Raw genomic sequence first — 15,661 nt, 5'->3', positions numbered from 1 at the left:
TCAGTCTGCAACAGTTCCTCAGATTTTCCCTTGATTTTCATGACCTTGACATTTTCAAGATTACAGGCCAGTTATTTTGTGAATTATCACTCACTTTGGGTCTGTCTCATTTTCTTTTCCATTATTAGCGTAGGTTGCATTCTGTAGGAATATCATGGAAGTGATGCTGTGTTCACTTGGTGCCTCCTGTCAGGTGGTACACGATTTTGATTTGTCCCACTGATGAAAGCAATGTCTGCTGGGCGTCTCCACTGTAAAATTTATCTCTATAGATTCATGGTTTTGTTTTATTCTATGGATTATAATCCATTATAATCATTATTTATTCTGATGCTCAAAATGTCCCTGATGTGGCCAGTAGAAGCCCCTTCAGTGGGAGTCTTTCGGGCATGTCCCTATCATTCTTTGAGCACTTTCTTGCTTCCTGATACAATATGTTCCAGGCTCATCTCGCAGTCTTCCTGCCTCAGCTCTGGAATCAGCCATTTCTCCAAGGAGCCTGGGTCCTTTTCACAGACAATATTAATTAATTAATTAATTTACTTATTTATTTTTTGAGACGGAGCTTCTGTCGCCCAGGTTGGAGTGCAGTGGCACCATCTCGGCTCACTGCAACCTCCACCTCCCAGGTTCAAGTGACTGTCTTGCCTCAGCCTCCCAGGTAGCTGGGATTATAGGCAAGTGCCACCACTCTCAAGTAATTTTTTTTTTTTTTTTTTTTTGTATTTTTAGTAGAGATGAGGTTTCCCCATGTTGGCCAGGCTGGTCTCAAACTCCTGACCTCAAGTGATCCACCCGCCTTGGCCTCCCAAAGTGTTGGGATTATAGGCGTGAGCCACCGCACCTGGCTGAAAATACTATTTTAAAGCAAAGATCTGAATGACAGGTATACTCACTGCTGTTGGGGTATCACTGCTAACAAGTCCTCTGGGAAGAGCTGGGGAATTTCTCTGTGTGTGTGCATGAGTGTGACTGTGTGTATAACAGCAAACCCACAATACTTCTATATTTATTTATATATCAATTATGTATATAGAAAACCACAAGTTCACATCAATATCTCCAATTCCAATCTGGCATTGTAGGGTTCATTCTGTTTGTTTTGGTTGGGGTCGTTCCCTCTTTCTGAATGTGTAACTCTCTTGTGTGCCCTCACTTACTGTCTTTAGGACTGAATGAGTTCAGTAAGGGAGGAAGATAAGGAACTACATTGTAATTTTTTTTTCGAGACTGAGTCTCTCTCTGTCGCCCAGGCTGGAGTGCAGTAGCGCAATCTCAACTCACTACAACCTCCGCCTCCCAAGTTCAAGTGATTCTCCTGCCTCAGCCTCCCAAGTAGCTGGGATTACAGGCATGCGCCACTACACCTGGCTAATTTTTTTTATTTTTAGTGAAGATGGGGTTTCACCATATTGGCCAGGCTGGTCTCAAACTCCTGACCTCCGGTGATCTGCCCTTCTTGGCCTCCCAAAGTGCTGGGATTACAGGCATGAGCTACTGCGCCTAGCCCTATGTTGTAATTTTGATGGTTGTGGGCCGAATTGCCCTCCATAGACAATGTACCAATTTACACTCCTACTAGATACCTTTAAGCCTTTTCTTTTCCCAACCTGAGGTGAAAAAATATTATTTCTGATGTTTTAATATGTATTACTCTTATCATAAAATAGCACGTTTTTTGAATGTTTCTAATAAAAAATAGAAAAAGTTAACAAGGAGAGAATGTTGTAAATGGGTGTAACTTCTGTCTCTCATTTTCTGCCCTATGGAAAACAATAAAAAGGGTCAAAACACGTCTGCATTGGAATAGCTGCCTGGCTGTTGCTGGCAGGAACTTAGTTATGAGTTGTGGGTGTCCTTCTGTTGTCCACCTGGAAGAACAAGTGCATTGGTGCTGTCCTGGAGACTTGAACGGCTCATGTGATTTCTCAAAACGCCTCCTGCAGTCAGCCGGCAGGAGCTGGCTCATGGTAACCAAAGAGTCAGCTATGCTCAGTGCTCTGTTATTGTGGGGCATAGGCTCCAGGACAAGAAGACTTTGGACACTTTGGGTGTCCTGGAATTTCCTTCTTGTGATTAAAATAATTAAAATGTAGCAGTCTAACTCAGAGAAGAAAGGCATCCCTAATTTGAGCAGATCTTAAGACAATTATATGTTAGGTTAAAATTGCCCATATCTGAACTTTTTTTCAACCTGCAAAAATGACAGTTTCATGTGGTTCATGTTTTAGATGTTGGTACACTTGGCCGGGCGCAGTGGCTCATACCTGTAATCCCAGCACTTTGGGAGGCCGAGGTGGGCAGATCGCTTAGGCTCAGGAGTTCAAGACCAGCCTGGGCAACATGGTGAAGTCCCATCTCTACCAAAAAAAACACAGAAAATTAGCTGGGTGTGGTGGTGGGTGCCTGTGGTCCCAGCTACTCGAGAGGCCAAAGCACGAGAATTCCTTGATCCTGGGAGGCAGAGGTTGCAGTGAGCCGAGATCACACCACTGCACTCCAGCCTGGCAACACAGCAAGACTCTGTCTTAAAAAAAAAAAAAAGATGCTTGTACATTTGCTTCTATGGGTCTCTACAGCCTGAAAAGTCCTCTTCTTCCCATCCCACAGCCCCTCATTTACTTACTTCTCTACGAATAATATCGAAACACAACAATTTAGACCCAATGCGAGTGGCACCTTTCCGGGGAATCTTTGTTCATACCCTAAAGAAATTAGCTCCTTTCTCATCACTACCAAGCACTTTTCAGGGTGTATCATTATAGGTTTGTTTTTTGCTTCTTTGTTTCTTTCAATTTTAAGTTGTGCCTTAAGTTTTAGATAGCTGTTTAATCTCTTTCTCCCCTATTGGTCTACAAACTCTTTAAGGGCAAAGACTGGCTCTTGTTCATCACTATGTTCCTAGAACCTAACACTAGGCTTTGTGTAAAGTCCTCAAAATGAATGAATAAATAAATAAAAGTTTGTTGAATGAATTAGCAAACAAGTCAGTGAATGAGGATTGCAGCAGGAATGGGGAATGGCCGTCCCAGAGAGAGGCTACAGCACCAAAAGTCCCTAAAAGTCTCTGGACCCCAGCTGCTCAAGGCCCTCAAGAGGCCAACCCCAGAAGCCAGGGCAGCCCCCACGCTGGGTGCATTTGTGTTGAGCCATAGTCTTGTCGCATACCCCAGTCCCTTCAGACGCTGAGCCCTGCTGACACGCTTCATCTGCAATAGGCTGCCTTTGCTGCAGGCAGGGCTACTTACTCCCACAGAAAACTCTGCTATGGGGAAGTCCATGCTTGCCAAAACCTCTGCAGGAAGAACCATAGAATCATCTACTCCCCCAGGTTCAGAACAGTGTATACTGTCCCAGACAGCCTGCTCAGGACATTCCTAGCTTGTGAAATTTCCTTTTCTAGGGGCACTGGAGCGTCACAGGAAATGCCGAGCAGCTGTTTGCCTCTTGGGTGTGGGATTGGATGGTCCCCAAGCCCGGTAATGCTCCTTCATCACCAGGCAGCTTGGAGGATGAACCTAGGCTCAACTTGGGAATGTGTCATGTCTCACCCCAGGTTCACAGCTGATGAAATTCCCTTTTCAGTAACAGAAAGAGAAAAGCCTGGCAAGTGCCCCCAGCTCTAGTCCCAAGGAGAAGTGGGAAGACCTGAGAATACAGAGCATTCTCCTCACCTTTCAGAAGCAAGGCCCAGGGAGGAGACAGGGGCTGCCTGGGTCTCCTGGCCTTGCCTGATCTTTCCAGGGACCCAGAACCCATCCTGACTGCTGAGACTGCTGAGCATCTGGGACTGCATTTTGCTAAATGGCTTGGTGTCCTGGTTTTGGACATTGCTGAGAGGGATTCTTGGGCAGGATAGTAGGTGTGAAGGGGTCAGGTGATCAAGAACCCAGGGAGAAAAGCTGGGGAGTAGAAGAGGTGAGCAAGTGAGCAGCGTGAGGTGAAGAGGCCAGGAGTGGCACACCTGAATTCAAACCGCAACTCAGCTGAGGATGCATGACCTATGTGGTCTTGGACTGTACTTGAATCTCTCTGAGCCTTACTGTCCTCACCTGTAAAAAGGGTAATGACATCTGCCTTGCAAGACTGGCTGAGTTGATTGATTAAAATAACACCTCTCTCTCTCTGTCTCTTTTTTGTTTCTTTGTTTTGGAGACAGGGTCTCACTCTGTTGCCCAGGCTGGAGTGCAGTGAAGCAATCATAGCTCACTGCAGCCTCAACCTCCTGGGCTCAAGCAGTCCTCCCACCTCAGCCTCCTGAGTACCTGGGACTACAGGTGCAAACCACCTCACCCGGCTAATTTTTAAAATTTTTTGAAGAGATAGGATCTTGCTCTGTTGCCCAGGCTGGTCTCAAACTCTTGGCCTCAAGTGATCCCTCCCACCTCGACCTCCCAAAGTGCTGGGATTGCAGCCATGAGCCATTTCTCCTGGCCTAAAATAGTATCTTTAAAGCACCTTACCCAGTCCCGGGAACCTATTAGGTGCTCAGCAAACATCACGGAAGGTTGGGGAAAGGGAAGCTGTGTGGTAAATGTCCTGTGGAGCCAACACTCCCCCACGTGCTCCCCACCAGACCAAAGTCCCTATTGGGGCACAACTGCATTTGCTGCTGTCGCCTCTCATCTTGAAGACAGACCGTGAGACCCACTCTGTATGCAGCTTGGCTTCTGGGATCACTTGAGTGGGCAAGGTTGGGACAGTGCCATTTCCCCCACCCTGGGCCGCTGCTGGGAAGGCAGACCAGCCAGCTTCTACCATGGACTGGGCCACTCAGAATCTCCCTGTGATCCCTTCTTCTCATTCCAAGGCCTGTGGAGAAAAGAAGGAGTCTCCTTTCAGCCGGGCCTTCCCACTACCAGAGTGGGGGATTCAGCAGCAGTGCCTCTGGCCAGCCAGAGTCTCACTACCCTTGCCTCTGAGCTCCCTCCTCTCCTGCCACTTCCAATGCAGGGGAAAGAGGCCGCCTGTCACCCAGTGAGGTGGAAGCAGGTGATAAACAAGGCAGCTCTCTTCCTTCCCTAGTCTCCTCTCCATAGTCTAGGCTGCAGATGGGCCACAGCCTCAGGTTGAGATCAAGACAGGAAGGAAAATAAAGTGCTGCCCCAGGTCTTGAACTCTGGGAAGTATTCCCTATTCATACTGGGGCTCTTTTCCTTGCCTCCTGCCCAGCCCTGATCTGAAGGAACTAGGAAAGGAGTGAAGAGCTTCTCAGAACTTCCCCCAGACACCTAGGCTGCCTCAGGAGGTGATATGGTTTGACTCTGTGTCCCCATCCAAATCTCACCTTGAATTGTAATAATCCCCACATATCAAGGGCGGGACCAGGTGGAGGTAATTGAATCATGGGGACAGTTTCCCCCATGCTGTTCTCATGATCGTGAATTCTCACAAGATGTGATGGTTTGTTTTTGTTTTTTGTTTGTTTGAGACTGAATCTCGCTCTATTGCCCAGGCTGGAGTGCAGTAGCGCAATCTCAGCTCACTGCAACCTCTGCCTCCCGGGTTCAAGCGATCCTTATGCCTCAGCCTCCCAAGTAGCTGGGATTACAGGCATAAGCCACCAGGCCTGGCTAATTTTTGTATTTTTAGTAGAGATGGGGTTTCACCATGTTGGCCAGGCTTGTCTCGAACTCCTGACCTCAGGTAATCCATCCCCCTCGGCCTCCCAAAGTGCTGGGATTACAGACATGAGCCACTGTGCCTGGCCGATGTGATGGTTTTATAAGGGTCTTCCCCCTTCGCTTGGCACTCATTCTCTCTCCTGCTACCCTGTGAAGAGGAGCCTTCCCTCATGATTGTGAGTTTCCTGAGGCTTCCCCAACCACGCAGAACCATGAGTTAATTAAACTTCTTTTCTTCATAAATTACCCAGTCTCATGTTATTTCTTCATAGCAGCATGAGAATGGACTAATACAGGAGTTTGTCCTCAGGTGTCGCTCTTCCTTCCAACCTCTCCAGGAGCAGCATTCAGGGCCAAGGGAGCCACGGTGACTCTAGCGCAGTGAGTCATAGGTGTTCAGGATGCAGAGGGAAGTTGTGTTGGAGAACAGGATGGGGCTGGGCTCCAAAGCCAAGCAGAAGAGAGTGGACTTGCTGAAGATGGTGGGACAGGGACACACACTGGACCTGGACTAGGGGCTTAGAATTTCAGCCCAGCTCTGCCACCAACTAGCCATGTGGTCTTGATCAAATCAGAGTACAGCCATGCACATCAGTGCCCTCGTCTGTAAAACTGGGCATTTGAAACAAATGACTACTGAGGGTTTGTGGTTTATTTTCTTTCCTGCTCTAAACAATAAAGCAAGACTCATGAAGAGTTTCTGAGAAAGAAAATGATGTCATTCAAGCCAGGTCTTGGTAGAATTAGCCTGGAAGTGGGGTGCTGGGTGTTGAATCAGCTGCGCATTGTGGCTTAAGCCAGTGGGGTTTTCTGTTCTTGCAACATAAAGAAGCCTGCATGCTGTGGGCAGTGTTCTTTGAGGCAGATATTAAGACACTGGGCTGTGAGACAATCATGTTTGAGTCCCAATTTCCATCATTTCAGAGCTGTGTGACTTTATAATAAAGCTTCGCTACACTATTTTGAGCCTGTTTCTTCACCTGCAAAGTCAGGGTTAATCAGAATGCCCACCCCCTGGTGCAGCTGCCAGATCTGGAGTTACTGCAGGCCAAGAGCCTAGAAGGGCGCCTGGTACATACGGAAGCACTCAGTAGACGCTGGCTTGCATCAACATGAATCCTGGCATGCTGCCAGCTATCTTTTGCTTTTGGCTTCCCTGAATGCATTCCCACCATTTCTCCCTGTGTTCCTGCCCTCCTCACTGCTCCTGCCCACTGAACTGCCGGCAATGCCTACTGTTGCCATAGTTTCCCCAGATAAATAGAATGCTTCCCTTATTTTAACTTGGACCTCACTGCCTTCTTCCTGAAACCCTTGGTGTTTTGGGAGCCATCACCACAGTTCCTTCTCTCTTCCCGTCTGCTCCAAGACATCTGCCCTTTCCAGGAATATAATCCAAAGCCTTCCTTTTGTGAGCTCATTTCAAATGTGCTCCTTGCCACACTGAAGCTGTGGTGGCTTTCTGCCCGGTTTGAACCTCCCTTTGCTGTTGTCCCTCCCTTGCCCAAGCACCCGCACCCCACCATACTGAAGATTTGGTGGTCAAGACTCCTGTGTTTTGTTTTTTTTTTTTTGAGACAAGAGTCTTGCTCTGTTGCCCAGGCTGGAGTGCAGTGGTGCGATCTCGACTCACTGCAAGCTCCGCATCCTGGGTTCACGCCATTCTCCCGCCTCAGCCTCCTGAGTAGCTGGGACTACAGGCACCTGCCACCATGCCGGGGTTTTTTTTTTTTTTTTTCTGTATTTTTAGTAGAGACAGGGTTTCACCGTGTTAGCCAGGATGGTCTCCATCTCCTGACCTCGTGGTCCGCCTGTCTCGGCCTCCCAAAGTGTTGGGATTACAGGCGTGAGCCACCGCGCCTGGCCAAGACTTCTTTATTTATTTATTTTTTGAGACAGTCTCGCTCTGTCGCCCAGGCTGGAGTACAATGGTGCAATCTCAGCTGGCTGCAACCTCCGTCTTCTGGGTTCAAGCGATTCTCCGGCCTCAGCCTCCCAAGTAGATGGGATTACAAGCATGCACCACCGCGCCCAGCTAATTTTTGTATTTTTAGTAGAGATGGACTTTTGCTATGTTGGCCAGGCTGATCTCAAACTCCTAGTCTCAAGTGATCCAACTGCCTTGGCCTCCCAAAGTGCTCTCCATCCTGGCTCCTCCACCTCTTGCCAGGCACCCTCCCTACAGAGCTAGTGCCTCATCCTTCCATGACCTCCTGCCCACATATGCTCTTTCAATCTAAGGTTTCTGCAAAAACTTTCAGGAAGGATCACATCTCCCAGAATTGCCTTCATAAGAACTTTTTTTTAATTATTTAGAAATGCAGTTATATACATAGAACAATTAAAATTAAATTAAACTTTGTACAAATATTAAAATACTATCTTCACACCCACTGCAATGTACAGGATACCAAAAAATATATATATAAAATAAAATAAAGCAAACCCAAACTGATTGAGTGACATCCTGCACAGAGTCAATTATGAATGTGTTGTTTTAAACCATTATATGAGTACCATTCTGCAAAGGATTCCATAGTGGTGCGATAACCTGAAGAAGCCAGGGCAGGGTGTGGGGACTGCCACACAGCCCACGTACATCTCTCCTCCTTGCTTGGCAACTGAGTGCTTTGCCCCTGCATCCCCTTCTACTAGCTCTGCTGCTTGGCAGAGGGGCTCAACCTTGAGGTTTTCATTCACAATTCTACTAGGGTTTCAACTGGAAATTAAGAGCCATTTCCCAGCAAAGCTGGGCCTGCCACCTTTTCCTCTCTAGGGAACCAGCAACTACACCATTCAGACCAAACATATGCCAAGCAAAATATTCTCCAAGTCCCACCTTGGGGCACCAGTAAGGACTGTCCCTATTCCGAGAGCTGACAGACCCAGCAGGCCCAAGAGAAGCTCCCAGCCTCACTCGCTGTCCTTGGCATTAAGCTGTGAAGCCTGCATGCTGCTTCCCTGCTAGGCCTTTTTTTTTTCTTTGGGGGTGAGGAGTAAGGATGCAGAAATGATTGCAGCATATTTCATTCTCTACGCAAGGATGTTCCTCGGAAATGGAGGCGACATTGTTATGTGGGAAGCAAGTGGTCTGAGGGCTCAGCTGGGACTGGGAGGGAAAGGGCTAAGGGCTATCTATTCCCGTGCCACCACCCATGAAGCAGGAAGAGTATACCTTTGTCTGAATTGCCATCTGGCTTCTCCACTGAACTTTAAAGCTGGCGGGAGGAGGGGGAGGGCAAGATGAATGGGAAAGAAAATATTAGCTTAAGATCTGTTTGCAAATGGAGTGCTTGTATTTATAGAATGTACATTGAAATGCCTTATAAAACCAAACAAACTCATAAAGTGGCCAGGATTCAGTCGATTTCACAGTTCATACCCAGTGAAACGGGAACACAGCACATAAAATACAGAAATGGCAAAAGATAGAGCCTACCTGCTAAACTAAGGCATGGAAGGGACGGATATTTTAAGTGATTTTCACCATATTCTGGCCCTTGAAAGTCATTAGAATGTGACTGCAAGTCACCAGGATATTAAACCTGCACTGAGTCAGCTCAAGTGTGCCAAAAAAAAAAAAAAAAAAACAAACACCAACAACAAACAAACAAAAAAACCCAAAAACTCTTTTAAATGTCCTTTGGTGCTGGCCATTCTCCTGCATCAGCCTCTTGCTGGAATGCCCTAGAGGTGAGCCCGGTAAAGCAGGGCTGTGGCCGGTTTCTTCCACCTGTTTCCACCTGCTCCAGGCTCCTCAGGCAGCCTGTCTTTTAACAGCCTGCCACCTGCTGCTACCCTTGTCTCTCAGCCAGGCCCTACCTCAAGGCAGCTGTGGAGTCCCTAATCTCTCAGTAAGGGACAAAGCCCAGAAGCCCTAGAAATAGCAGCACATGGCTGATGGTTAAGAAATTGCTTTGGAAGAAAGACATAACTGGAGGAAGAAGCTGTCACAGACTTCAGCAGTGAGGGGAGAATGAGCTCCTGCACTCACAGGCCCAGGAGCCTCTGGGAAGTGGGCCTCATCAAAGCCAGTGACAAGAAGGAGGGGAGGAGACGAGAGGGGAGCCAAGGCTCCCATTGTTCTAATTTCTTCCTTTCCTACCAGGTGGGCAAGCCTGGGCTTGTGCTCCTCAGTGTTGTTAGTGGAGGGCAGGGCGGAAAGAGGCTTCAGGAGAAGGAAGGCTTTTCATTTCACCAGGGATCAAGCTGGTCATCTATGCAGCTGAATAAACCCCAAACAAAAAGTGCAATCTCTTAGGGGGACAAAACCCCAGAGTAACAAGATAGAAAAAGGTAAGATCTTCCATTTTAAAAACCATTCTAGAATAGAATGCGGGTTTTGAAACAGTGAAAAATAAAAGCTGAAGGCTCAGCAGTGAGACTTCAGATTACCACCCCTCCCCCTTTTGTCACTGCTTTCTGTTTTGGAGGAAGACAAGGGCACTGCTGTGGGTGAGGTAAGGCGACTGGGGCCATTAGGGACAGCCCTCCAGGTGGGCCCATGCTAGTCTCATCTGCCTTCTAGTTCTAGCACCTTCTCCAACCAGCTCCCTACCTAACTATGCTTTCCTGGACTCAGCACAGCAGATGAGGGCTCCTGGGGGAGGGGAAGTGTGGGAGTGGCCAACAGGCACAGCAGGCACTGCCCTTACCCTGAGAGGAAGGAAGGAAGACTACAAGTGGCAGCAAGAGGCCAGGGAATGACCGGGTGGTAAAGTGCGTGTGTAAGCGCGGAGGCAGGAGGCAAGAGGGTAAAAGGCTGGGAGAAGACCACTCCCCTCATCTTCTAGGCCACCCACGCCTGGAGCCAACCCTGTTAGGTAAGGTACTGAAAATAAACTGGGATTTTTATTTTTACCACCCCCAAGCAGACAGGCTCAGGGGAGGAGCAGACATGCAGCACAGGGTCCGCTTCGAAGTTTCCCAGCCACAGTGCTTCAGAAAATTTCAGAAAAAAGCAAAACAAACATTCCTTACTGCTGCATCTATCTTCTAAGATGACAGCAGTTGGCAGAGTTCGTCCACCCCAGCCTAGTTAGCATTCAACACATGGCTATGGGAGAGCGCCCCTCATCAGTGGGCTCCTCCCCCAGGGCCCTGTACTCCAGGCTGCTCCACACCCCTCTGCCCACCTCAGGCCATTAAGGTTGGGGTGCACACGGACTGTTTCTCAGCCCTTCCCCCAGGGGGCCAGGGAAGACAAGGAATTGCTTGTCAGCTGTGACATGCGAGGGGTGGCAGGGAAGGGCAGAAGTAGGAAAAGCAGCAGCACAGCAAGCAGCAGGCCACTTCCTGGGCACAGTTACTAAGGCACGTGACCATGGTGAGGAGGATCCTCAGGACCGGGCTGGAGCTGCCTGCAGCCACCCGGGGACTTGGTCTGTGCCTCTCGGCCTCCCCTCCGTCACCACAAACCCAGAAAGGGGCAACCTGCCCAGACTGCCAGTGACCAGATGGGCACTCCATGGCATCTCAGCAAGTCTCCTTCCTGCCCCAGGCCCCTGTGGGCAGCAAGAAAGCCAGAGCTATCTGGGATAAAACCCAGGAGGCAGCATGCAACTTCCCATTATACTCCAGGGAAACAAAAAAAAGACAAGGCCAGGAAGGCCGATGCTGGAAGTAGGAAGTGAGAACTTGCATATTAGGAAGACAATCATTATCAGCCATTTTCCTTCTCTCCCTTGGGATCTTCTGGATGCTTCTTGGAAACTCTCAACTCAACAGGGCCAGGAGCTTGTGCCTTTGGGCCAGATGGCTGGGTCCTGGGCCAGCATGGACATGATTCTCCAAATCTTCCATCCTCAGCCAAGGAAATATGCCACCAGGGTCAACCCAGGGCAAGCCCAGGGACTACACTCTCACCCCAATTAGAGCCACTTCTGCCACTCTTGACTCAAGAGCTCTCACACCTGGATCTGTTCCTGCAAAGGGCAGTAGGGGCAACCCTCAAAGGAAACAGGACAGACCCAGGCCCGGCCCCCTGTGTGGCAGGGGGCAGCAGTGCAGCCACTAAGGCTTGTGGACAGCAACAAGTCTGCATGACAGGGAAACTGGACAGGGTGGGGGAAAGGCACAAGTAAACACAGCAGCACTCAGGCCCACAGGAGCTGGTGGGGGCTGCCGCCAAAGAGCTGGCTGGAGGGGACCCAGAGGCTTAGGAAAAGGGAGGGTTTGATCCAGCACATTCAAATATGTCTCTGACAGATGGGAAGGCGGGGCCAGGCAAAGAGCCAGCTCCTCCAGCTGTCCAACAGGCAGATGGCGAGAATCTTCCTTGAGTTTCCAGCAAGGTGGGCCTATAGGGCCCTCAGAGATACACAGATACACAGGTGGCAGCTCAGGTATCCAGGTAAGGTGGCTGGAGAGTACAGGGTGCTCAATCCCACAGGGAGAGGGAGGAAGGGCTGAGAGAACCTCGCAGAGAGGAAAGGCTGGCCGCTGCCCTCATGCTTCTTTCAACAGTGGAATATCTGCAGGAAGACCAGAAGAAAAGCACAGTGGTTACCTTGTGTGGAACTCTAGAGCACTCTCGACCCCACTGCAACTTAGGGGCTATCCTACATAGCCCCTAATTTAAAGAAAGTAAATGTCCCACTCATACACTTCTAGGTAGGCAAAAACTCCCTACCTCCTTTTTTATGACTTTCTAGCTTATCTTTCCCAGTGCCTATGTGAAAAAAACTCAATGTTCAGCCTGGTATTCAAACCATCCTCCTCTCTGCCTTAGCTCTGCTGGTCTAGTCACTTCCCTTTCTCTCCTAATTCCACCCTATGAGGCTACAAAGCCCTGTGAAGTCCCACTGCCTCCTAAAGCCATCTGCCAGTCGTGTGACTTTGGATAAATCACTTCCCTTCTTTTGGTTTCAGCTTCTTCATATGCTGTGGGCCTCAAGCTCCCAACTTCCTAGGGTATTATCAGTCCCAAACAGCTCAGGCATGGCCTGCAAGGAACTTACTGACTTAATGTGTCTTGTTTTCTGAACCCCTCATTCTGACACAGACACTACAATTCCTGGTTCTATTATTTCTTGAGTATAGGCCCCACCATCTTCCCAAATGGCTGATACTCCATGCAGGAAGATAGCACATTTCATATTTCTCTGTATCACCCCTGAAACCTAATCCAGCATTAGGCACAAGATGGCCTCTCAAAATGCTTGTTAAATACAAAAAACAAAGCTAGGTAGCATGGAAGAGGAGGAAGAGGAGGGCCCCACCTTGGCTCCTTGGGAAGATAAGGGCTATGATATACACTTACACACATCTCACAATATGTGTGGCTGGCTGACTGTGGGGTTACTGGCTTCCAGATTCAAACCTGGGTCAACTATTTTAATGGCCAACCAAGAAAAACGAAGGCAAGATGTTGATAACCAGGAAGCTCCATAAACATGATCTGCTTTCAGTAATTTCCAACTTCTTTGCTTTCAGATATTCTAAACCTTAGACATTTACTATGCCCAGGATACCCAGGAAGCATAAAGTTTCCTCTAAGGCTCTTTTAGGGAGGCTTTCTGAGTGTACAAGTCTTCACTATAGAAAGGGGCATCTAGGGTTAGTCTCATCCTGAACTACATTGGGATTTACCTTAAAGACAGCTTTCAAAGTGACAGACTCAAGCCCAGGGTAAACTGGCCTCTGGCAAAGGCAGAAACATCAGGAGGCAGTAATTTCATTCTATGATTGTTTGCCACAAGGGCGCTAGAGCCACCTGGAAGGCAGAATCTGGCTTCAAATCCCAGCTCAGCCATTTACCAGTGGGCCAAGTGACTTACCTTCTGTGAGCCTTAGTTTCCTCAGCTGTAAAATGGGGATGTCAATAAATACCTGTGTCTTAGGATCACTGTGATGTTTAACTGAGATAGTGCAAGAAAACAAACTAGCATAGTACCCGGAACACTCCTGTTTAGAAAGCAGCAGCTGTCTGCTCTGGAGAGGCTCTCATTTTTCTGTAAAATAACCTATGCCTCCTTGTCATTCCTGACCTTTCAGGAACATAACATTTATAACAAGAGGACAGACCCCACCCCCAACTCCAGCAAGCTGTCTTTTGATTTAGCAAGGCTCTGTGACTATGAATGGCCTCAGAGACTCCAAACGATCAGAATTCACAGGCGTCAGTGAAAAGTCTCACTACAGAGAGCCCAAAGCCCTACTCAGTACTCTGAGGGTGAAATTCTATTTTGTAGGCAAATACCCCAGGTACTATCTTTTTTTTGCTAAAAATATACCAATTATTTAGAAAGGCTCACAGTCCTTCCTCACTCCCAGCAAGGACCCTAAGCAGCTAATAATTCATGTTCAGCTTGGACCACTCACCATCTGTGTACTCCTCTGACGTGAGGGATAAAAGGCTTTGTATGTCACTGTTCTCTGAATCTGCAGTTTCTTTGTGTGCCAGTTGGCGGTTCCCTGAGCCGGCCACCCAGGAAGAGGTGGTTGCCTGATGCACCATCACAGTCTCTGAGGCCCGAGAGCCCCAGGCTTCACATAGTCCAGACTGGCCTGGGGCCTCATCTTCTCCACCTGCAGAGGAGCAGGCCCCTTGGTCCGGCAGCTGTTGCTCCCTTGGCACGCTCCTCCCACTGGGCCCAGACCCTTCTGACAGCACAATCTGTACTCTGGGGTCAGCAGGTGGCACACAGTGACCAGAACTGCCATATACAGCCTCCTCGTATGATGGTAGTGCAACCTGGACTCCATCCACCATGATGGAGACCTGGTCCCCAGATACCCCCTGGTCACGCCTGGAGTGGAGGAGGAAAAGACAAAGGATGAATTAGAATAAACACACAGAGAAACAGGCATGATAATAATAATAGCAGCCGCCACCATTTTTGAGCACTTACTATGTGCCAGGCAAAGCACTAGGAATTTTAAACACCTTATCATGCTGGATTCTCACCTGAGCCCTTTCAGGTAGGGATTCACCAAGAATGCAAATGAGGCTCAGAGAAGTTAATTAACTTGCCCTCAATCACACAGCTGGTAAAGGATGGAGCTAGGATTTGAATCCGGTTCCATCAGCCTCCAAAAACTGTGTTCTTAACCTCTGGGTACACAGGCACCTGGCCCTTTTACCCTGTGGAAAAACTAGGAGCCTAGAGACCCAGAAATAAAGGCATTCATTCAGCACAGCTAAAATAAGGAAGTGAGAGAATGATGGTGGCATATATCTGTGAATATACTAAAAACCACTTCACTGTACACATTAAATAGGTACACTGTATGGTATGTGGAATATATCTCAATAAAGCTGTTAAAAAACAGGGAAGTGTGGGATACTGGACTAGAAATCACAATAATTTTGTTCTGACTCAGCCATACTGCTTTTTTTAAAAGTTTGTAAACTTTTTAAAAACTTTGAACACAAATACAGAAAACAGAACACAAGAAAAATCTGTGTACAGCTAGCTGATTTACTCCAAAAGTAACACTGGTATAAAACTCCTATATAGGTCAAGAAAAAGAACACTGCCCAGAACCTAGACCCTTTGCACCTGTCCCAAAATCACTCCCATTGCCTCACCACAAAAAGTAACCACTATCCAGACTTTCAGGAAAATCATTTCTTTGCTTTTTATTTTAACAGTTCTACTACCTAAACATGAATCCTTCAACACTGTGGTTTAGTTTTGCATATATTTTTTTTTAATTAAAAAAATTGTTTTTCTTTTGAGAAAGGGTCTTACTCTGTTGCCCAGGCTGCAGTGCAGTGGCGTGATCACAACCTACTGCAGCCTCAACATCCTGGGCTCAGGTGATGCTCCCACTTCAGCCTCCCAAGTAGCTGGGACTAAGGCATGCACCACCACGCCTGGCCAATTTTTTGTAGAGACGGAGTTTCTCCATGTTGCCCAGGCTGGTCTTGAACTCCTGGGCTCAGGCAATCCTCTCACCTCCTCCTCCCAAAGGATTACAGGCGTGAGCCACTGTGCCTGGACAGTTTTGCATATTTTTAATCTTTACTTGAATGGGATAACAAAGTAAATTTGTGAGAGTATATATCTGTTTCTGGCTTCTTTTACTCAACA

The 15,661-nt window shown here is 48.0% G+C and overlaps 1 protein-coding gene across 1 annotated transcript in view, besides 1 other annotated feature; it reads right to left on the bottom strand.

The window, feature by feature from the left end:
* Positions 1-7,906: 7,906 nt before the first annotated feature.
* Positions 7,907-15,661, bottom strand: part of SUSD6 (sushi domain containing 6) — a 103,549-nt gene continuing 95,794 nt past the window's right edge. The window contains exons 5-6 of the mRNA NM_014734.4: positions 13,947-14,374; positions 7,907-12,097 (exon numbers count right to left, since the gene is read on the bottom strand). Coding sequence (NP_055549.1) covers positions 12,072-12,097; positions 13,947-14,374 — 454 coding nt within the window. The 3' untranslated portion in view covers positions 7,907-12,071. The remainder of the gene's footprint in view (positions 12,098-13,946; positions 14,375-15,661) is intronic.
* Positions 9,565-9,859: an enhancer, noted in NCBI's record as "tiled region #8327; HepG2 Activating non-DNase unmatched - State 8:EnhW". NCBI's record gives its function as "activates a minimal TATA promoter and a strong SV40 promoter by Sharpr-MPRA in HepG2 cells {active_cell/tissue: HepG2}" and the evidence as "EXISTENCE:reporter gene assay evidence [ECO:0000049][PMID:27701403]".

Source organism: Homo sapiens, chromosome 14 (genome assembly GCF_000001405.40).
Source record: "Homo sapiens chromosome 14, GRCh38.p14 Primary Assembly".
NCBI lineage: Eukaryota > Metazoa > Chordata > Mammalia > Primates > Hominidae > Homo > Homo sapiens.
This window is presented reverse-complemented; position numbering and strand designations above follow the sequence as displayed.